The following is a 22,673-nucleotide window of genomic DNA, read 5'->3' on the forward strand; positions in this document are numbered from 1 at the left end:
CCCAGCCCCTTCCCCTCCCCTCCACGCTGTGGCAGTGGGTGCTGTTGATGTGGGGCACGTTCTTGGCTTGTGCATTTCTCGGATGAACTGCATCTGTTGACAGTAGAAAGATGCTCACATGTCTTTGGCTCAAGATCGACACTGCCTTTGGCTCAGGTTGGGACATCAACTATTGCTACAGAGCAGTAATGGTTAAAAATAAGATTTTGGAATTTATTAAAATATTTGTGGCTGGGAGCAGTGGGTCACACCTGTAATCCCAACACTTTGGGGGACCGAGGCGGGTGGATCACTTGAGGTCAGGAGTTTGAGACCAGCCTGACCAGCATGGTGAAACTCCATCTCTACTAAAAATAATAAAAATTAGCCGAGTGTGGTGGTGGGTGCCTGTGGTCCCAGCTACTCGGGAGGCTGAGGCAGGAGAATCACTTGAACTCGGGAAGCGGAGCTTGCAGTAAATTGAGATTGGGCCACTGCACTCTAGCATGGGCAACAGAGTGAGACTCTATGTCTAAAAAAAAAAAAAAAAATTTGTAATTGTTCAAATACAGTTTAGACTAGGATTGACATGTAAAAATTTTGTGAGAGGATAATACATTTTGTTTTCTCCATTGTATGAAAGCATTTATTGAAAATCAAGTGACATCTTTTACAAGGGAAAAAGTCACTTGTTCTTTAACATACAGTTTTTTTTCTTAGTTCTGAATTAGAAATGGCATCTGTTTTAGGTCTCAAGATATAACTTGGCTGTTCCTTACTGTGTATGTATGTTGTTTTCTGTAGGTATAGATAATTATATATAGGCCCTGTACCAAATGGGAGTGATGGTGTATTTAATAACTCTTTGATACCTTATGTTACCAAATATAAAGGCCAGGCGCAGTGGGTCACACCTGTAATCCCTGCACTTTGGGAGGCCGAGGTGGGTGGATCACCTGAGGTCAGGAGTTTGAGACCAGCCTGGCCAACCTGGTGAAACCCTGTCTCTACTAACAATACAAAAATTACCTGGGCATGGTGGCAGGTGCCTATAATCCCAGCTACTTGGGAGGCTGAGGCAGAAGAATCTCTTGAACCTGGGCGGGGGGAGGAGTGGGGGGCAGAGGTTGGAGTGAGCCTAGATGGCACTGCTTCACTCCAGCCTGGGCAAAAGAGCGAAACTCCTTCTCAAACACACACACACACACACACACACACACACACACACACACACACACACACCCTTTCTCTGTTGCTCAGGCTAGAGTGCAATGATGTGATCATAGCTCACTGCAGCCTCGACCAAGCCGACTCAAGTGGACTTCCTGCCTCAGCCTCCCTGGCAGCTGGGACTACAGGTGCATGCACAACCACCACACCCAGCTAATTGTAATTTTTTGGAGACAAGGTTTTGCCATGTTGTCCAGGCTGGTCTCAAGCTAATGGGCTCAAGGGATCCTTCAGCCTTGTCCTTCCAAAGTGATAGGATTATAGGCATGAGCCACTGTGTCTGGCCTTCCTTTAAAAATTTTGAAAACTTGGCCAAGCTTGGTGGCTCATGCCTGTAATCTCAGCACTTTGGGAGGCTGATGTGGGCGGATCATTTGAGATCAGGAGTTCGAGACCAGCCTGGTCAACATGGTGAAATCCCGTCTCTGCTAAAAATACTGAAAGTATCCAGGTGTGGTGGTGGGCACCTGTAATCCCAGCTACTCGGGAGGCTGAGGCAGGACAATCACTTGAACCTCAGGTGGAGGTTGCGGTGAGCCAACATTGAGCCACTGGATTCCAGCCTGGGTGACAGATCGAGACGCTTATCTCAAATTAAAAAAAATTAAATTAAAATTTGAAACCAGGGGACCAAGTTCTGTTGAAGACCTGGAAATTCCAGTAGGCTGAAGATCAGTGCAACCACCGTGGTCGGCCCTGTTGAGGTGCTGCTGAGCACCCACTCATCTGTGGGTGCTGCGGATTTACTACACTCAGATAAAGCCAGTGTTTCTGGAGTTCCTCCAGGGGAAACTGGTAGAGTTCAAAGCCCAGCCAAAGACCCTAAGAAATCATAAAGGGAACATACGCTTTTCTGGCTGTTACTGTTCTCCAGCGCCTTCTTGCCTCTGGATGGAAGGACAGCTCACTGCTTAGTATTTCACAAGCTCTTGCTTCATCCGCCAACTCATCCACTGTTGGATGTGTCACCGAAGCCAATCTGTCCTGGATCACAGCGACCCGTTAACCCAACAGTTCACAGCTTTTTGCATGTCCCTATCTGAACATCCAAAGACCCCTAAAAGAATTGTGGACTGGACTGAGTACTCCTTACGTGGACCCTTTTAGGGACCACGAAGCCCCCGTTTCTATTGGGCATCCCAGTTGGGCTATTCCCTTACCCTTGCTAAAAGAAGGCGAGCTCCTCTTTTCCCTTGATGGTGAGCCAGAGAGCACTCCATCTGATGGGCAGGCCTTAATGAGTCAGGAAGTCTTTCGGGCAGGTGTGACTTTGCCTGGATGTAGTAATAACCTAACTGATTCCTAGTTAGAAAGGACAGCCTTAGTGACTACTGCTACCCAAGACACAGACCTGTGCTCCTGAGGGCTGCCCTATGGATCAAAGCAAGCTAAATGGCGGCTGCTATGGCTGCCCAGCAAGTCCCTAGACTCCTTAGCTGGAGTAGTTTTATTATTATTATTATTATTATTATTATTATTATTATCGAGACAGAGTCTCGCTTAGTCACCCAGGCTGGAGTACAGTGGTGCAATCTCGGCTCACTGCCACCTCTGCCTCCCGGGTTCGAGCGATTCTGCTGCCTCAGCCTCCCATGTAGCTGGGATTACAGGCGTGTACCACCATAAATACCCTGCTAATTTTTGTATTTTTAGTAGAGATGGGGTTTCACTATATTGGCGAGGCTGGTCTGGGACTCCTGGCCTCAAGTGATCCGCCCACCTCAGCCTCCCAAAGTGCTGGGATTACAGGCGTGAGCCACCATGCCCAGCCTGGAGTAGTTTTAGATAACCGCATAGCTGTGCACTGTTTGCTTGCTGAACAAGGGGAGTGTGTGGAATCGCCAGCTCGTCTTGCTGTTCCCACAGTAATGCATCAACTGAAGTGGACATGTATGTTGAAATGACAAGACAGCAAGCCTCCTGGTGGCCTAGACTGCTTTTCAGGAGTATGTGGGGTTTTTTGGTTGTTGTTTTGTTTTGTTTTGGCAGGGTCTCACTCTGCTGCCCAGGCTGGAGTAGAGTGACACAACCTCAGCTTACTGCAGCCTCGACCTCCTGGGTTCAAGCAATCCTCCCACCTCAGCCTCCCAAGTAGCTGGGACTACAGGCATATGCCACCATGCCCAGCTAATTTTTACATTTTTTGGTAGAGACAGTGTCTTGCCATGTTGTCCAGGCTGGTCTCAAAGTCCTGGGTTCCAGCAATCAACCCACCTCGGCCTCCTATAAAGACGTGAGCCACTGCAGGAGGCTGAGGCAGGAGAATTGCTGACATATCCAGTTTCTTAGAAAAAAACATTTAATAGAGACTTACAAACAGAAGCTATGTCTGGGTCTCAGGTGGCAGTGAGACAAGATGGTAGCTTTACCCCCCAAGACCAAGGGCCACAGGGGAGGGGTGACCTCAAAGGGATGTGTAGGACAATTGAAATATGATAACATCAAAGTTGTTTTGTCCTAAGGGCAGGATTTATGGGAAGTAGGTGCTCCCGCACTAGAAACACGACATGAATGGGAAATCTCAGAGGCCCTCCGAGAACTGGCATTCATCAACCTGGTAGATCAGGCCCCAAGATGGAATTGCCTTGACACCCACACCACCTGAAATAATCTGGAGTACTGTTGGCAGCTGATGTGAGACTTTGGTTCTTGTCTTCTTAGCTTAAAATAATTTAAACAAGAGACACAACAGCAAAGGAGATGCAGCATACAATAATTTTTGCAAAAGAAAAAGAACATCTTGAAAGTGAAGTGCAGAATAGGCAGAGAGAAGAATTCAGGGCAGGCTGCTCATAAAGATGAGACAGCAAAAGTTGGCACTAGGGAGGCTCCCTTTATGGAAATCTTACATGATTATTCATGAGGGGTTGGGAAGAGGTGTTGCTAGTAAGCATGTTCTGGCCAAAAGCTATTAAAAGAAAAGGAGTGTCAAAAAATTTAGGCCGTGCTGGGGGTGGAGGCTCACACCTGTAATCACAGCACTTTGGGAGGAGAGGCTTAAGCCCAGGACTTCCAGACCAGCCTGGGCAACATGGTGAAACCCCATCTCTACCAAAAATGCAAAAATTAAATGGGCAAGGTGGCACACACCTGTAGTCCCCACTACTCGGGAGGCTGAGGTGGAAGAATCTCTTGGGCCCAGGAGGTTAAGGCTGCAGTGAGCCGTGATTGCCCCACTGCACTCCATCCTGGGCTACGGAGCAAGACTCTGTCTCAAAAAACAAAGTCAATGGTTCCCTTTGGTGGGGAAGGAAGAAGTGGGGTTTGAATGGGGGGCAGGGTACATATGGGGAGATCCTGGCTGTAGTCAATTTCTTGATCTGAGTGGTATTACTTTGGCGTTCAATTCTGTAACTCTTCTTTAGGCCATATCTTTCTGTTTTCTGCAGTTTTAATGTTTGACATATCTCAAAAGGAAAGAAAGAAAAGGAAGGAACAAGCTTGCCATTTGATCCAGATTAGATGCAACTGTTCCAGCTGCGTTTTCCATTTTCATCTCAGCCAGTATTTTTCAAAATGTGACATGCACGTATTTCCAAAGGGCGGTACTGAAACAGGATAGGTAATCAAGGAAGTGACCGTGTTCTTGGGATGCAGCAAGCGTGGTGACCGCACAGTCAACACAATAAGCCTCAGCATTCGAATTGTAATTGAGCTCATTCAAGCAAAGCTATCTTCAGTGGGGACTTTTCTTTCTAGAGAGCATGCGCATTTTGATTTTACCTATCCTCAAACTGACCCTTTGCTCATTATAATAGTAAAAAGCGCACCCCGGGTGGAGATTTAAGAAGCTAATGAGACCTGCGACATACGAGCCAGCATGTACAGCTACTCACGCCTGTAATCCCAGCGCTTTGGGAGGCCGAGGTGGGCAGATCACTTGAGGTCAGGAGTTCGAGACCAGCCTGGCCGACATTGTGAAAACCCATCTCCGCTAAAACTACAAAAATCAGCCAGGCGCAGTGGCTTACGCCTGTAATCCCAACACTGTGGAAGGCCAAGGCAGGTGGATAGCCTGAGGTCAGGAGTTCGAGACCAGCTTGGCCAACATGGTGAAACCCCATCTCCGCTAAAAATACAAAATGAGTCAGGTGTGGTAGCAGGTGCCTGTAATCCCAGCTACTCGGGAGGCTGAGGTGGGAGAATCCCTTGAACCTGGGAGGCGGAGCAGTGAGCAGAGATCTCACCAGTGCACTCCAACCTGGGCGACAGAGCGAGATTCCGTCTCTAAAACAAGTAAATAAACAAAAATAAAAAAATAAAAATACAAAAACTAGCTGGGCGTGCTGGCGGGCGCCTGTAATCCCAGCTACTCAAGAGGCTGAGGCAGGAGAATCGCTTGAACCTGGGAGGTGGAGGTTGCAGTGAGCTGAGATTGCGCCACTGCACTCCAGCCTGGGGGACAGAGTGGGACTCCATCTCAAAAAAATAAAAATAAATAAATAAATTAATTAATTAATTAATAAAATAAAATAGAAACAGGGTCTTGCTATGTTGCTCACTATGTGGTGAATTTTTTCAGGTGCTGAGCAAGACTGGAGACCAGACACACACCAATGTCACTTGCAGTAAACAAAGGATATTTGTCCACATTCAAAGTCTATGGTGACACCCTGGCCACATGGGGATGCTTGGCCACCCTGCCTCCTACCTTCATGCCAGAGTCGCCTGTCATAATGTCTGGTTACAGCCCTTCCTCTGAGGTCCAGGGATTTCAAAGCAGAAGCAGCAGGTCTTCCCCGGCTGGAGGAAGAGCCAAAGCCTCCATTCCTGGGATTCTTGGTTGCTGTTACCTGGGGCAAGGGGAGGCCCAGGCTGTGGCGTGTATTCTCAGAGGATTGGTCGTCTTGGTCCTTCTGTTTCCTGGGAAGGAAGGGCTGGTCCTGTAGGGCCCCATCTAGATCCCTTAGCACCCTCTACCACCTGATGCCCTTGGGGATACCAAGCTCTGTGCAGTCCAGACCATGTTCCAGCTCAGTGCCCACCTTACAGGCATGCGCCACCATGCCTGGCTAATTTTGTATTTTTTAGTAGAGATGGGGATTATCCATGTTGGTAAGGCTGGTCTTGAACTCCCGACCTCAGGTGATCCACCTGTCTTGGCCTCCCAAAGTGGCCGGGCAGGGCTGAATTCGCCCCCTCACCAGCTACTGCCAACCACGGATGAATGGCTTCTGCCTGCCTCCTGCCCTCCAGATCTTACCAGGGCATTTCACTGGGAAATATGGCAACAGCCCTTGCCACTCAGGGGACAGCATGGCAGGGGCTGGGAACGAATGTTGTTGCCAAACGACAAGACCCAGCTGGGCCCAGTGGCTCACACTTGTGATCCCAGTGGTCTGAGAGGCTGAGGCAGGAGGATCACTTGAAGCCAGGAGTTTGAGAGCAGCCTGGGCAACACAGTGAGACTCTACAAAACAAAACAAAAAAAATTAGCCAGGCATGGTGGCTGGTGCCAATAAGCCCAGCTACTGGGGAGGCTGAGGCTAAGGCTGAGGCAGTGAGCCATGATCATGCCACCGCAGTCCAGCCTGGTGACAAATGAGACCCTGCCTCAAAAAAAAAAAAAAAAAAAAAAGAGGAAGGTGAGCGCAGTGGCTCATGTCTGTAAATCCAGACACTTTGGGAGGCTGAGGTGGAGGTTCGAGACCAGCCTGGGCAACATAGCAAAACCATGTCTTTACACAAAATAAAAAATGAGTCAGGTGTGGTGGCACATGCCATTGGTGCCAGCTACGTGAGAGGCTGAGGTGGGAAGATTGCTTGAGCCTGGGAGGTCCGAAGCTGCAGGGAGCCGTAACTCAGGCATCACACTCCAACCTGGCTGACAGAATGGGACCCTGTCTCCAAAACCAAAAGATTCCAGCTCGAAAAATAATTGTGGGGTGGCGGCAAAAGCTCCTGACTGGCCTTGACTTTAGAGTGAATCAATGAATTAATTAAGGGCCTGCCTGTTAGTGAGTCTCCTCTGAAATTTAGCCCAGAAATTTCCTAACTCAGCAAGATGAAGCAGGAGGTAGAAGGAACTAAGGGGGCAATAAGCAGGAGGAAGGAATGTCCCCATGAGGGTGACATCTTCCCTGAGAGCCCCAGGACGACCAGCAGGAAGCCAGGCGGGGGGCAGGCAGGAGGACTCCAGAAAGCTCGGCCTGAGGGGAGGCCCGTGGGGGTGGTGGGGAGTGGTGCGGGGAAGGCAGAGGCTGAGCAGCAGGTGAGGTCCCCTGGGTTTTGGGGGCCAAGCCTGGGGCTCGGGGCGAGCAAGCATGAGTGGAGAAGGGGCTGCTGTGGTTGGGCTGGGGTGGACTCCCCACCTGCGTCGTCCAAACATTAGTGTGAGTGCACCCACACAAACACATACACAATCACACACAACATGTGAGCAATGGGCAGGACTGGTCCGGCCCCACTCAGTGCTGTCACCATTGGCCCCACAGCTGCCCACAGCCCTAGAGCTCTGGGCCCAGATTCCTGCCAGCCCCACCTGTCCAGGCCAAGGTAAGATGATGGAGCAAGGGGGTGCCAGGGCAGCAAAGCCCCCCACGTGCCCCTTTCCCACAGGGCCCAGGCTCCTGGCATCAGGAGGCTGAACCCAGGCCCTGGCCCAGACTGTGTGCTTCCAGCCTCCCCTCCTCTCGACACCAGAACACAGCCTGGCCCCAGCTTCTGGGAAATATAGAAAAAAATGGGTGAATGATCCAGTGACAGGGTGTCTTGTTCCACACAAGACACAGTGAGCAGGGGTTGGGGGAGGGGCTCCTGGCTGCGGGAGGCACACCACACTCACCCAAATGGCATCTGTACTCAATACCGCACCCTTCCCTGGGGGACACCTGGTCCCAACCTGAGCTGCCTTTCTCAGGACCCCAGCCCCAGCCCGGCCCAGCCCAGCCACACCCTGCCACTCCCTTCAGCCAGTGTGGCTTCAGGTCAAGAGGCTGGGCAGGGTCAAGGTGGCAACGAGGGGAGAAGCCGGGACACAGTTCTCCCTGATTTAAACCCGGGCAGCCTGGAGTGCAGCTCATACTCCATGCCCAGAATTCCTGCCTCGCCACTGTCCTGCTGCCCTCCAGACATGCTGGGGCCCTGCATGCTGCTGCTGCTGCTGCTGCTGGGCCTGAGGCTACAGCTCTCCCTGGGCATCATCCCAGGTAATGAGGCTCCCCGAGCTGCCCCTACACAACACACACACAGGGCACCCCCCAGCCCAGGCTGACCTGATTTTTGCTCTCCCCCTGGCCAGTTGAGGAGGAGAACCCGGACTTCTGGAACCGCGAGGCAGCCGAGGCCCTGGGTGCCGCCAAGAAGCTGCAGCCTGCACAGACAGCCGCCAAGAACCTCATCATCTTCCTGGGCGATGGTGAGTGAGCCAGGCCTTCCAGCCCTGCAGCCCTCACAGCCCCGGCGCCCGGACCCTCAGTGGTTCCAGGAGAGCCCTGGGGCCCAAGCCTCACACATTTCTGTTCCTTCAGGGATGGGGGTGTCTACGGTGACAGCTGCCAGGATCCTAAAAGGGCAGAAGAAGGACAAACTGGGGCCTGAGATACCCCTGGCCATGGACCGCTTCCCATATGTGGCTCTGTCCAAGGTAAGTGCTGGGCTACCTTAGAGTCCTCCAAGCACAGAAGGGGAATCCTGGCTATGGAGTGTGGTAGGAGGGAGGGACCCTAAACAGCTGGGGCTCCAGTAAGGAGTTAGAGGCAGTTGGAATCCCAGAGGACAGAGATCAGGGTCTGGGTCTCCGTGTCTGCCCCAGAGAAGAGCTCAGAGTGTCTCTGTCCCCAGACATACAATGTAGACAAACATGTGCCAGACAGTGGAGCCACAGCCACGGCCTACCTGTGCGGGGTCAAGGGCAACTTCCAGACCATTGGCTTGAGTGCAGCCGCCCGCTTTAACCAGTGCAACACGACACGCGGCAACGAGGTCATCTCCGTGATGAATCGGGCCAAGAAAGCAGGTGAGCTGGGGCCCGCTGCTGGGTCACGGCCAGGTCACAGACGTTGGTCACATATACTGACCTCTGACACCCTTAGGGAAGTCAGTGGGAGTGGTAACCACCACACGAGTGCAGCACGCCTCGCCAGCCGGCACCTACGCCCACACGGTGAACCGCAACTGGTACTCGGACGCCGACGTGCCTGCCTCCGCCCGCCAGGAGGGGTGCCAGGACATCGCTACGCAGCTCATCTCCAACATGGACATTGACGTGCGACCCCCAGGCCAAGGGCTGGGGCTGGGCAGAGAGTAGCAGGGAGGGGGCACTAGCTCAGACCCAGGCAACCAAAAGCCTTATCTGGGCCAGCAGGGTCTGGAGGTGGGGTTGTGGGCGTAGAAGGTGCAGCCCAGGCTGGGCCATTCCCACAGCCTTGGGGAGGGGAGTCAGGGGCTGTGCATGAGGAGGGGGCACGGGGCCAGCCAGGGCCCCAAATCCACCTGCCCCATCCTCTGTTCCCAGGTGATCCTAGGTGGAGGCCGAAAGTACATGTTTCGCATGGGAACCCCAGACCCTGAGTACCCAGATGACTACAGCCAAGGTGGGACCAGGCTGGACGGGAAGAATCTGGTGCAGGAATGGCTGGCGAAGCGCCAGGTGATGGGGGCTGGCGGGTGCAGGGGGCACAGCAGGGGGAGGGCAGAGGTGTGGGGCTCAGGGCTGTGGGCTGAGGCCTGGCTCTCTCCCTCCCCACAGGGTGCCCGGTATGTGTGGAACCGCACTGAGCTCATGCAGGCTTCCCTGGACCCGTCTGTGACCCATCTCATGGGTAATGACCCCCTTCCTGCCCTGGCATCCCTCAGATGGCCTCAGATGGCACCTTCTGAGCCTGTGTGCACATCCGCCAGCACCCGCCCACCCCCAGCCTGCCAGTCACCACAGGACCCCTTGTCCCACAGGTCTCTTTGAGCCTGGAGACATGAAATACGAGATCCACCGAGACTCCACACTGGACCCCTCCCTGATGGAGATGACAGAGGCTGCCCTGCGCCTGCTGAGCAGGAACCCCCGCGGCTTCTTCCTCTTCGTGGAGGGTGCGTGGTGGCCCCTGGGGAGTGGGGGTTGGGGGTTGGAGCAGGGCAGGCTCAGCATCTCCCCCCTCTGGCCTTCCTGCAGGTGGTCGCATCGACCATGGTCATCATGAAAGCAGGGCTTACCGGGCACTGACTGAGACGATCATGTTCGACGACGCCATTGAGAGGGCGGGCCAGCTCACCAGCGAGGAGGACACGCTGAGCCTCGTCACTGCCGACCACTCCCACGTCTTCTCCTTCGGAGGCTACCCCCTGCGAGGGAGCTCCATCTTCGGTAGGCCTGGGGAGAGTGGCAGGTGCTGCTGCAGCAATTAAGTGGGTGAAATCTGAGCCTCAGTCTCCTCCTCTGTCAAATGGGAGTAATGCTGGCACCAGCCCTGTAGGGTCTCCTGAGGACTAAGCCCCTGACCAGGCAAAACGTGGCGGTGCCTAGCACGTGGGAGACACTCCACAGCTGTGTTCAGCTCAACCACAGGGACCCCTCTCTCTGCAGGGCTGGCCCCTGGCAAGGCCCGGGACAGGAAGGCCTACACGGTCCTCCTATACGGAAACGGTCCAGGCTATGTGCTCAAGGACGGCGCCCGGCCGGATGTTACCGAGAGCGAGAGCGGTGAGTGCCGCGGGGTGGCCCCCTGAGGGGGACCAGGGTGCCAAGGATGGGGGGCTGGCGGGAAGGGGTCACCTCCTGTCTGCCTGGAACTGAATGAACCCTCCTACCGGAACTGAACCCTCCAACCAGGGAGCCCCGAGTATCGGCAGCAGTCAGCAGTGCCCCTGGACGAAGAGACCCACGCAGGCGAGGACGTGGCGGTGTTCGCGCGCGGCCCGCAGGCGCACCTGGTTCACGGCGTGCAGGAGCAGACCTTCATAGCGCACGTCATGGCCTTCGCCGCCTGCCTGGAGCCCTACACCGCCTGCGACCTGGCGCCCCCCGCCGGCACCACCGACGCCGCGCACCCGGGGCGGTCCGTGGTCCCCGCGTTGCTTCCTCTGCTGGCCGGGACCCTGCTGCTGCTGGAGACGGCCACTGCTCCCTGAGTGTCCCGTCCCTGGGGCTCCTGCTTCCCCATCCCGGAGTTCTCCTGCTCCCCACCTCCTGTCGTCCTGCCTGGCCTCCAGCCCGAGTCGTCATCCCCGGAGTCCCTATACAGAGGTCCTGCCATGGAACCTTCCCCTCCCCGTGCGCTCTGGGGACTGAGCCCATGACACCAAACCTGCCCCTTGGCTGCTCTCGGACTCCCTACCCCAACCCCAGGGACTGCAGGTTGTGCCCTGTGGCTGCCTGCACCCCAGGAAAGGAGGGGGCTCAGGCCATCCAGCCACCACCTACAGCCCAGTGGGTACCAGGCAGGCTCCCTTCCTGGGGAAAAGAAGCACCCAGACCCCGCGCCCCGCTGATCTTTGCTTCAGTCCTTGAATCACCTGTGGGACTTGAGGACTCGGGATCTTCAGGACGCCTGGAGAAGGGTGGTTTCCTGCCACCCTGCTGGCCAAGGAGGCTCCTGGGGTGGGGATCACCAGGGGGATTTTGACACAGCCTTCGGCTGCCCCCCACTAAGCTAATTCCACACCCCTGTACCCCCCCAGGGGGCCCTCTGCCTCATGGCAAAGGCTTGCCCCAAATCTCAACTTCTCAGACGTTCCATACCCCCACATGCCAATTTCAGCACCCAACTGAGATCCGAGGAGCTCCTGGGAAGCCCTGGGTGCAGGACACTGGTCGAGAGCCAAAGGTCCCTCCCCAGACATCTGGACACTGGGCATAGATTTCTCAAGAAGGAAGACTCCCCTGCCTCCCCAGGGCCTCTGCTCTCCTGGGAGACAAAGCAATAATAAAAGGAAGTGTTTGTAATCCCAGCACTTTGGGAGGCCGAGGTGGGCGGATCACGAGGTCAGGAGATGGAGACCATCCTGGCTAACACGGTGAAACCCCTTATCTATGCGCCTGTAGTCCCAGCTACCCAGGAGGCTGAAGCAGGATAATCGCTTGAACCCGGGCGGCGGAGATTGCAGTGAGCCGAGGTCATGCCACTGCACTGCAGCCTGGGCGACAGAGCGAGATTCTGCCTCAAAAATAAACAAATAAATTTTAAAAATAAATAAATAATAAAAGGAAGTGTTAGACAATGTAATGCCAGTACTACTTCCTAGGAGGAAAATCATGAGTGCCTGTGGGCACAGTGTCTGGAGGGGTGGATAACGCAGGCCAGGAGGGGCTGCTGAGGAGCAGATGATTGAGCAGGAGACCTAAACAGAGTGGGGCTTGAGCAAGGCAGAACAGCAGTGCCAAGGCCCTGGGGCAGCGCCAGCAGGTGCTCTGGGAGGCCAAGGGCTGGATCAGAGGGTGGGTGGGTAGAGGGGTAAATCTGAGGGTCAAGAGGGTGGGTAGTGTTGGGGAGTGTGAAGTCTGAGTAGAGGGATGTGGTTGGAGGTCTTTAAGGAGTGCTGTGACCCGCCCTGGGTGGAAAATAAGTATTCTGGCTGCTGCCAGAAGAAGGGTCTTGTCTTTTGGGTGGATGGTGGGGGTGGTAGAGGGTAGCAGGGAGAGGTGAGAACTGGGGAAGGAACTGACTCCAGGTGTTTCTGATCTCCGTCCGAAAGCATTCGGGAGCACCCATCCCAACACAGCCATGCTTGGTGAGTACCACACCTGCCCCAAAAGAACATTGAAAAGAATTTTTTTTATTTGAGGCAGAGCCTCACTCTGTTGCCCAGGCTGGAGTGCAATGACCTTGTCTCGGCTCACTGCAACCTCTGCCTCCCAGATTCAAGCCATTATCCTGCCTCACCCTCCCAAGTAGCCAGGGGTCAACAAGTGTGCACCACCATGCCTGGCTAGTTTTTGTATTTTTAGTAGAGACGGGGTTTCACCATATTGGCCAGGCAGGTCTCCAACTCCTGACCTCAGGTGATCCACCCGCCTTGGCCTCCCAAAGTTTGGGATTACAGGTGTGAGCCACGTGTCTGGCCGAAAAGAATTAAAGGTGAAATCAGCCACATTTTCCAGCAAAGTTTACACTATTACAAAAAATACAAAAATTAGCCAAGCCTCGTGGCCCATGCCTGTGGTCCCAGCTACTCAGGAGGCTGTGGTGGGAGGATCACCTGAAGTGAGGAGTTTGAGACCAGCCCAGCCAACATGGTGAAACTAAAACTGGTCTAAACTAAAACACGGTCTCTACTAAAACTACAAAAATTAGCCGGGCGTGGTGGTCGGCACCTGTAATCCCAGCTACTTGGGAGGCTGAGGCAGGAGAATTGATTGAACCTGGGAGGTTGCAGTGAATTGAGATCATACCACTGCACTCCAGCCTGTGCGACAGAGCCACTCTGTCTTAAGAAAAAAAAAAAAGCAAGCATTTTGTGCTCACTAGAAATATTAGCATGATTGAATGCTTCCTTGCATATGAAAATTATTTTAACATTGTAAAACATCTATTTGGCAGGCATGGCGGCTCAACACCTGCAATCACAGCACTTTGGCAGGAAGAGCGGGTAGGATCGCTTGAGTTCAGGAGTTTGAGAATAGCCTGGGCAACATAGTGAGATCCCGTCTCTGCAAAAACAACAACTGAGTCCAGGGAGGTCGAGGCTGCAGTGAAAGAAGATTGCTCCACTGCACTCTAGCCTGGGCAACAGAGCAAGACCCTGTCTGGAAAAATATATACATGTATTTGAGGACCTGGCTCTCTCAGGACAGTTTTTTTTCTTTTCTAATTCTAGGTTTTAGTGGCTGTCATAAAAATATGGGAGGTGAACAGAAGGTAGACACCATTAGCTGGCCTTACTAAATCATCATACTCATTGTTACATTCCATCCACCAAATATGCAAAGGTTTTGGTAAAATCCAGCTAGTGTATTTCTATCTTCCCAGTTGTCAGTGGGTTAGAAAGTTCCTCTTTCTAACCAATGTGGAGGTGCTGCATGTTTAGGTTTTACATGAGTGCTCACACCCAAGGACTTCTATATTTTAAAAGTGAAGACATTTTAAAAACAGATTATTCTGGCCAGGAGTTGTGGCTCATGCTTGTAATCCCAGCCTTTTGGGAGGCCGAGACAGGCAGATCACTTGAGGTCAGAAGTTTGAGACCAGCCTGGCCATCATGGTGAAATCCTGTCTCTACTAAAAATACAAAAATTAGCCAGGTGTGGTGGCAGGCACTCGTAATCCTAGCTACTCAGGAGGCTGAGACAAGAGAATCGCTTGAATCCGGGAGGCAGAGGTTGCAGTGAGCCGAGATCGCACCATTGCACTCCAGCCTGGGTGACGAGAGTGAAACTCCATCCCAAGAAGAAGAAGAAGAAGGAAGAAGAAGAAGGAAGAAGAAGAAGAAGAAGAAGAAGAAGAAGAAGAAGAAGGAGGAGGAGGAGGAGGAGGAGGAGGAGGAGGAGGAGGAGGAGGAGGAGGAAAAGAAGAAGAGGAGGAGGAAGAGGAAGAGGAGGAGGAAGAAGAGGAAGAAGAAGAAGAGGAGGAAGAGGAAGAGGAAGAAGAGGAAGAAGAAGAAGAAGAAAAAGAAGAAGAAGAAGAGGAAAAAGATTATTCTGAAATTAGGTCATTCTGTTCTCAAGCTTCCTTTTCCTGTGTAGGTATGAGTGTTTATGAGTCTAATACATTGTTTACCCCAAAATCAAGTGTCAAATAAATATTTTCAAACTTCTGCTCAAAAATTTGCTCTTTCCTTAGCAAGAGTTTTGTTTTGTTTGAGACAGAGTTTCGCTCTTATTGCCCAGGCTGGAGTGCAATGGCGCGATCTCGGCTCACTGCAACATCTGCCTCCCGGGTTCAAGCAATTCTCCTGCCTCAGCCTCCTGAGTAGCTGCGATTACAGGCACCCGCCACCACGCCCAGCTAAGTTTTGGTATTTTTAGTACCCAAAGTTGATGAGTCGACCTGCTCCACGCGTAATTTCAAGGTGGTCACGTTGGGGTCACCCCTTGCAGCTTGTAGCTGCTGTGAACGCCAGAGAATGAAGTACTCAGACAATTCCAGCTGAGTGGGGCAGGCGGCAACTCCTCTGAGAGAGTGCCGCCCCAAAATCCATCCGCCAAGTATTTATTAGAAGGCTTGTTAAACCACAAACATCCACCAGATGGGTTTTTGCCGTGGGGTCATGAGGCACATACGGCCTTGTAAAAGCACTCAGACCACATTCCTAGGAGGCTGTTTTCAGCGCTCCTTATCACACATTCCACTCCTTGTCCTGTTTTCAGTGTCAAGGAGTTACATTCTCACGCACAAACAACGTACACACAGTGCCTCAGTATTTTTCCATGCCTCGAGCTCAAATGCCTTGTACATAAGTTTGAATATATCGTCGTGCACCCCCCACATCTCCCCCTTCTTTAATTCTTAGAGCTTGCTGGTTATCCAACGCAAAATAAGCTTCTATCCTTCTTCCCTGGTCATAGATGCTTCGGGTGGCAGCACAGAGCCATTTACAGAAGCCTAGCAATCAGATACAAAAAAGAATATAGCGGCCATCACCCTAGCAATCAGATACAAAAAAGAATATAGCGGCCATCACCCAAATGCGTATGTTTAACCCAGACAACCAAGTATTCGGGTTCAGTCATTGAAAGCCTTCTTGTAATTGCTGAAGGGTATTTGTTTGTAATTGCTGCGAGACCATTCTTCAAGTTGTTTCTTCAACTAGACCTCAAATGCTTTGTACATAAGCTTGAATATATTGCCGCGCACCCCACCCGCTCCCCACTGCCTGCCAGAGGGCTGGGAAATGGCTGCACCGCTGAACACCGCAGTTACCCCGGGGAAATTACTTATGACCTCCTCCCGCGCGCTGCCACTGTGCGCTCCCTCCCCTCCCCTGCTTTCCCTTCCTCTCCTCTCGCGCACCCTCCTCCCGCCCTCAGGGACCCCTGGGCAAGGCCACTGCGCCCCGGGTCTACGGCAGCTGGCGGGGCGCTCAACGCGCGCACTCACACGGACGACGTAGCGCAAAGAGTTCCTGTCGTCCAGGCTGACCATAAGCGAGAAGAGCGCGGCGGCGCTGTACACGCCCTGCACTTTTTTACAGCAGCCAGTTGAGGTCCCATCGCGCAGCAACCCCCCGGCGCTCCGCCGCGCCGCGCAGGTCCCAGCCCCCGCAGTCCTCGATGACCTCCAGCATGAGCAGCGGGTTCAGTCGTTCGATCTCGCGCATCTCGAGGCACAAGCGGAAGAAGGAGCGCACCTAGTGCTGGGCAGCGCCGCCGGGTCCACCCTTGGGCCGAGCCAGCAGGCGCCGCAGGCGCTCCTCGTTCTGCTAGCCGATGGCCGCGATGGTGCCGTAGGTGAGCTTGTCGTCGGGGATGGCATGGCGCCGCAGCCAGCCGCCGCAGGCGAACGAGTATAAGTCCTGGCATGGGTCGATGCTGGCGTCCAGGTTGGCGGCCAAGAAGCGAGCGGTGCACGCGAAGTCTTGCGCTCAGGACAGCCTTCAGGACAGGCTCCGCCGCCGGCCGCGACCGGGCCCAGGTACTTGAGCACCAGCATAGCCGCCAGGATGGAGCAGAGGCCGGCTGCAAACACCAGCCCGACAGCAGGTTCAACTTGCGCCGCTTCCAGAGCTGCAGCCCGGCCTGGGCCCGGTGGCCTGCGGGCAGAAAGTCCCCGCAAGCGCCCCCCGCGCCGCAGTGACTCACATACTTGACCTCCTGGAACTCATCGTAGTGCGCCATCAGCGAATACCAGGACTCCATGGCGCCGAGGCCGCCGGGGTGCAGCCCTGGGCCACCTGGGCTACGGGATGCGCGTGGCCGCCGGCCTCCTCGTGAGCCTCCGCGTGGCCCCTGGGGCCTCAGCTGCGGGAAGGACAGAGGCAGGCTAATGAGACGCCGCAGCCCGACGGGGTTCCGGGGCACCGCGAGGAGAGACACAGGCCTGGGTGCAGAGGCCCCAGCCGCGAGCCTCATTCACTGGGGAAACCAGGGACCAGGAGGGCTCGGCGGGGCCACCACCCCCGCGTGCACAGTGGAGTCTTCTCCCCTGTCCCCCTCCCTGCACACACGTGCGGGTCCCTGGGTTGGGAGGGCCCTGATGGGAAGGGGGAGGAGCCAGGCACGGGGCCTGGCACGTAGTGGGCCTTCATTGAAAGGCTGTCCCTCTTCCCTTCGCCTTTCTGGTCCAGGACCTGCCCCAGCCAAGGCCGGGCAGAATGGGGGTGGGGGGTGGAGAAGCGGAGGCTGGAGTGAGGAGGTGGGGTCAGGAGCGCGTCTATGCTGCACTTTCCGCTTTCCGCGCTGGACACAGACAGAGGCTCCACAAAGCGGCCAAAGAACCAAACTTTGTCCTTGCGGAAGTCCGCAGGATCTACCACTCAACCCCGATCGCTGGCTCCTTCTACTCGGTGGCCCGACAGCCCACCCGCTCCTTCCCCAGGGGCGAGCGCCAACGCCCCAGGGTCGTGGATACACAGCCCACCCCCTGGACGGCCCTGATGGAGACCGGCTCCGTCCCCCCACCCACCCCCATTCCCAGTCTGTGACCCCGACCCGAGCCACTCCCGGCTTCAATACGTTCTCCCCAGAACCCAAACTTGGGTGAAGTTTCACCTCCCGCGGGGCGCAAGGAGACGAAGCCGGGAGGCTCCGCGCAGCGGCCGCGATGGCGGCAACGGCTGCAGGGATTCGGCGCCATTTACCCCGCAGGTGCGCACTCGAGCAGGACCAGGACTAGCGGGCCCGCTCGAAACCAGAGCCTGAGCCTGAGCAGAACTGCGTGGGCAGCCGCTGTCTCCCAGCGCCCGCTGCCTTTTCTGCCGCCGAGCTGCCAGCCCGAGGGGTCCAGCCGTGTCCCAGGACCAGTAAGGGCAGCGGGTACTCCCGGGAGGGGTCCCTTCGGATCCCGCGTCCCCATTACGAGCTGCCCACCAGCCGGCTAGAAAGGGGCTGGAGCTACGCAGCTGGGGGCCGTCATGCCCCAGCCCACAGCCCTGGAGCACCGGCCGGGGAGGACTCCTCCTAAAGGATAAGGGGGCCCTGATGGAGTGCCTGGGCTGCCCGCACAGCGCCTGCGCACCTTCACCAGGGAGCTTCCTTGTACTCCTGGGAACGCCTGTCCAGGATGAGGTCTCCCCAGGGCGTCTGGGCTTCTGGTTGGCCTCGCTCACTTCCCCCAGTTCCTGATCCAGGGAGAGCAACGGAGAGCCCTGCCAGAAGAAGGCTTGGGGCTGCGAGTGCGGCCCCCATGGTACCAATGCACAGTTGACCCAGAGCACAGCAATCGCGGCCAATAGGAGGTGACTTGGGTTTAGCCTGTGACCACACAGTCCTGGTCACCCTGCACAGACTGCCAATAAAGAGGGGTCCGAGGCCCAGCTCCTTGGCTCCCCTGCAGTGTCTCCAAAAGGGAAGCTGAGGCTGTGGGTGAGTGGGTGATGCCAGTGGTCCAGGCCCAGTTCCACCTTGCACAAAGGCCTTCTTAACCTTTCATCGAAAAATATTTCTGCAAGGACATCTGCCCAGCAACCACCCGTCCATCCTCAGACTGGTGCCACGCATATCCTTGATCCTTGTAGCCAAGGATAAATATCTCAAAACAATCCTGTGATCCTCCTCCATTTTCCTTTAAAAACCTTTGTCTTCCTTCACCTCCCTAAATTCACACGTGCTTTCCTATGGCCTGCTTATTCCCAAGCAATACCTATTTCCAAAGAAAGTTCATTTTATTTTAGAGTCTTTCTGTATTTGTTATGCAGTGTCACATAGCGGAGCCAGAAGTGGGACCGAAGTGAATTCATCTTGGATGAATCAGCGTGTCCTGGAATCTAACGCAGTGTTGACTGAGCCCCCCGCAGACTGCCTTTCCAGGAGTTGCTTTTCTGTTCTGGTGAATCTCCTCAAATACCCAGATTCCCTCCCTTTGGTCAGTTCCTTTTTACTTTATCCTGGATGTGATTTGATTATAAGGCTCCCTTAAACAAAGGACCTTGCATCCCTCCTGAGGGTATAAAGGTTGGGTTTCTTTCTTTCTTTCTTTCTTTCTTTCTTTCTTTCTTTCTTTCTTTCTTTCTTTCTTTCTTTCTTTTTTTTGCTTCTTTGCTTTTGGCAAGCACTTTCTGGTGTAAAGAGCAGTGCCCTTCTGGTTTGAGGACTCTGAGTTCTAAAGAATTTATGTTCTGTCCATGAGGCAAGTCTTTCCTGGTGAATTCACTTTTGGTTCTGGATGCCTGACTGAATATTATGTTTGATGTGTACACCTTGGTTGAAATTTTGTGAGCATTCTGATTTGGGTTTGATTTTGGTTTGGTTTCCCACGTCTTTAAATGATTTGGCTCATTTTTTTTTCTTGCTTGTTCCTGAACATCTTCTGATCATCCCACAGCAAAAATAAACATAAATAGTTTAGCACCATAGGAAATGTTAAAACACACGTACACACGGTGAGGGTCGGCCCCTCGAGGTGGCTCCTGTCTGTAATCCCTGCACTCTGGGAGGCCAAGGTGAGAGAATGGCTTGAGCTAAGGAGTTGGAGACCAGCCTGGGCAACATGATGAAACCCCACCTCTACAAATAACACAAAAATTAGCTGGGTGTGGCAGCTCCCACCTGTAGTCCCAGCTATCAGGAGGCTGATGTGGGAGGATTGCTTGAGCCCAGGAGGTCGAGGCTACCATGACTTGTGGTCCTGCCACTGCACTAAAGCCTGTTTAACAGTGAGAATTGTCTCAAAAAATACACATATGGTGAGTGTGAGAAAGCCAACTGAAAGAACCCAGGGTGTCACCACCATCTAAAACACTGGTCCAGACTCCTGACAGTCCCTGACAGGGTTTATAGGATTTTCTTTGCTTCTCAGAGATGAAAAAGAAATGGAATGGCATTCTCAGACACTAAGGCGTGCCAGATTTTCTGGGACTCCAGGCAGCTACATGGCTTTCCCTGTGCACATTTCAAAATCAATGGCCATCATTGGAATCATTTGAACTCCTCAAATTTGCTTTTTCCTAATACTGAATTTTTAAACTGCCAACTACAAAGTTAAATGGAGAGCCTTCTAAGTTGTCTACTTCTGTCTCTCTCTTTTCTGCCTACTTGGAATCTGCTGACATTTCTGCTGGCATTAAGATAAACTGATAATATCACACTCCAGCCAACATAAAAACCACTAAGGAAGGGGTCTTGAAGGGCTTTCAAATTAATGGCTCTATAAATTACAACAGCTCCGTGGCAAACAACAACCTAGAGACCTTTTGGAAATGTAAATTCAGGTTTGCCTAACAGTTGCTTCGGGTGATGGAACAGTCCACGGAAGGATTGATATTAGAAAAGAACAGAATGAGAGAAATGTTTATAAATGTTAGGCACCCAGATTAAACAGGTCAAAATCATGAGCTCAGAGCAATAATGAAAAGGATCTCTGTTTCTGGCATAAAAACTGCTTCTCTGCTACACAGGGGCCAGGAAGAGCTGAACGAACTGCTAAAATGCTTCCCACCGGCACGGAGCTGTCAAGCAACTGAGAGTGGCAAACAGAAGAGAAATTTGTTATTGGACTTTTCAAAACTGCTAGGAGATTTTGTTTCTTGTACAAAATCCAGCCAGTCCTAGCTAAAATTAAACAGTTAGTATTTAATCCTTAATCTCATTTGAAACTGAAAAAGGATAAAGGTGGGCTCAAAGAGATTAAAATAAAAACCAGAAAACTAAACTGCTTGCCAGGCGCGGTGGCTGATGCCTGTAACCCCAGCACTTTGGGAGGCCAAGGCACGTGGATCACTTGGCATCAAGAGTTCCAGACCAGCCTGACCAATATGGTGAAACCCTGTCTCTACTGAAAATACAAAATTAGCCAGGTGTGGTGGCGCACGCCTGTAATCCCAGCTACTTGAGAGACTGAGGCAGGAGAATTGCTTGAATCTGGAGGCTGAGGTTGCAGTGAGCCGAGATCGAGCCATTGCACTCCAGCCTGGACAACAAGAGCGAAACTCCATCTCAAAAAAAGAAAAGAAAAGAAAACTGTTTTACCCAAAGTTTTGGTTGCTGCCCTCATAAGATTGCTTATCAAGACAAATGACAATTTTTTTTTTTTTTTTGAGATGGAGTTTCTCTGTTGTCGCCCAGGCTGGAATGCAGTGGAGTGATCTCACCTCACTGCAACTTCCGCCTTCTGGGTTCAAGTGATTCTCCTGCCTCGGCCTCCCAAGTAGCTAGGATTACAGGTGCACACCACCACACCCGGCTACTTTTTGTATTTTTAGTAGAGACAGGGTTTCAACATCATGACCAGGCTTGTCTCCAACTTCTGACCTCAGGTGATATGCCCGCCTCGGCCTCCCATAGTGCTGGGATTATAGGCATGAGCCACGGGGCCTGGCCCTGAAAATCTTAAAGTTTAGCTTTGGGACCTCTCCCATTTTCTCAGAAATCTCATTTGGATCCAACTGTGTTTTATAAACCTGTGAGTCCACATTACAATGTTTTGCTGTCTCATGACTACAATTCTAAAATGAAAGCTATAAGGTCTTATTTGTGTTTCTGTCTATGTATGTATGTTTTTGCATGTCGTATGTCGTGTCTCCAAGTTGAAATCTGGCATGGTCAGCTAGACATCCCTTAAGAAATTCTATTTGGGGTGGCTGGACATGGTGGCTCATGCCTGTAATTCCAGCACTTTGGGAGGCTGAGGCAGGTGGATCAGCTGAGGTGAGGAGTTCGAGACAAGCCTGGGCCACATGGCAAAACCCCATTTTTACTAAAAAAAAAAAAAAAAAAAATTAGCTGGGGCTGGTGGTGTGCACCTGTATTCCTAGCTACACAGGAGGCTGAGGCAGGAGAATCACTTGAACCAGCGGGGGCAGAGGCTGCAGTGAGCTGAGATCATGCCACTGCACTCCAGCCTGGGTGACAGAGCGAGACTCTGTCTTAAAAAAACAAAAAAAGAAAAAAAAGATAAATTAAACTTGTTAAAATATATAGTGAGCAGGGCATGGTGGAGCATGCCTGTATTCCCAGCTACTCAGGGGGCTGAGGCAGGAGGATTACTTGAGACTAGGAGTTCGAGGCCAGCCTGAGCAACACAGCAATACCCCATCTCTAAAAAAAATATGTATGTAGGCCGGGTGCAGTGTCAAACGTCTTTAGTCCCACCACTTTGCGAGGTCAAGGTGGGTAGATTGCTTGAGCTCAGGAGTCCCAGACCAGCCTGATCAACATGGCAAAACCCCATCTCTACAAAAAAAAAAAAATACAAAAATTAGCTGGGCTTGGTGGCGTGTGCCTGTAGTCCCAGCTAGTGGGGAGGCTGAGGCAGGAGAATCACTTTAATTCGAGAAATAGAGGCTGCAGTGGGCTGTGATTGCACCACTGCGCTCCAGCCTGGGTGACAGCGAGACCCTATCTCAAATATATATATAATATATATATATAAAACATATATAATATATATTACATATATTATATATACACACACAGATATATACACACACATATCTATGTA

At 52.8% G+C, this 22,673-nt stretch overlaps 1 protein-coding gene, 1 long non-coding RNA gene and 1 pseudogene across 4 annotated transcripts, besides 3 other annotated features; 1 reads left to right on the top strand and 2 right to left on the bottom strand.

Moving 5' to 3' along the window:
- Window positions 1–186: 186 nt before the first annotated feature.
- Window positions 187–8,511, bottom strand: LOC124906123 (uncharacterized). 2 transcript variants are annotated; one of them, XR_007088121.1, is made up of 4 exons: window positions 8,424–8,511; window positions 2,370–6,072; window positions 2,057–2,193; window positions 187–511 (listed from the first exon to the last, which is right to left on the bottom strand). It is a non-coding gene; the product is annotated as an uncharacterized LOC124906123 (long non-coding RNA). The 2 variants fall into 2 exon arrangements; XR_007088122.1 differs by lacking the exon at window positions 8,424–8,511 and having other exon boundaries at window positions 2,370–6,580.
- Window positions 4,581–5,148: an enhancer, noted in NCBI's record as "NANOG hESC enhancer chr2:233239812-233240379 (GRCh37/hg19 assembly coordinates)". NCBI's record gives its function as "activates a minimal SCP1, AML or CMV promoter by ChIP-STARR-seq in primed H9 embryonic stem cells {active_cell/tissue: H9 hESC(primed)}" and the evidence as "EXISTENCE:reporter gene assay evidence [ECO:0000049][PMID:30033119]".
- Window positions 8,029–8,996: an enhancer, noted in NCBI's record as "H3K27ac-H3K4me1 hESC enhancer chr2:233243260-233244227 (GRCh37/hg19 assembly coordinates)". NCBI's record gives its function as "activates a minimal SCP1, AML or CMV promoter by ChIP-STARR-seq in naive H9 embryonic stem cells {active_cell/tissue: H9 hESC(naive)}" and the evidence as "EXISTENCE:reporter gene assay evidence [ECO:0000049][PMID:30033119]".
- On the top strand, window positions 8,230–12,368 carry ALPP (alkaline phosphatase, placental). The gene is made up of 11 exons (NM_001632.5): window positions 8,230–8,357; window positions 8,450–8,566; window positions 8,679–8,794; window positions 8,992–9,166; window positions 9,243–9,415; window positions 9,665–9,799; window positions 9,899–9,971; window positions 10,102–10,236; window positions 10,319–10,510; window positions 10,730–10,846; window positions 10,976–12,368. Exons 1-11 carry the CDS (start codon window positions 8,282–8,284, stop codon window positions 11,272–11,274), a joined length of 1,608 nt encoding a protein of 535 aa, NP_001623.3. The 5' UTR covers window positions 8,230–8,281; the 3' UTR covers window positions 11,275–12,368.
- Window positions 10,256–10,806: an enhancer, noted in NCBI's record as "H3K4me1 hESC enhancer chr2:233245487-233246037 (GRCh37/hg19 assembly coordinates)". NCBI's record gives its function as "activates a minimal SCP1, AML or CMV promoter by ChIP-STARR-seq in naive H9 embryonic stem cells {active_cell/tissue: H9 hESC(naive)}" and the evidence as "EXISTENCE:reporter gene assay evidence [ECO:0000049][PMID:30033119]".
- ECEL1P2 (endothelin converting enzyme like 1 pseudogene 2) lies at window positions 15,229–16,523 on the bottom strand (annotated as a pseudogene). Its single transcript, NR_028501.1, has one exon. The product of NR_028501.1 is annotated as an endothelin converting enzyme like 1 pseudogene 2 (transcript).
- Window positions 16,524–22,673: the final 6,150 nt, after the last annotated feature.

The sequence above is a fragment of the Homo sapiens genome, chromosome 2, assembly GCF_000001405.40.
Source record: "Homo sapiens chromosome 2, GRCh38.p14 Primary Assembly".
In the NCBI taxonomy this organism is placed as follows: domain Eukaryota; kingdom Metazoa; phylum Chordata; class Mammalia; order Primates; family Hominidae; genus Homo; species Homo sapiens.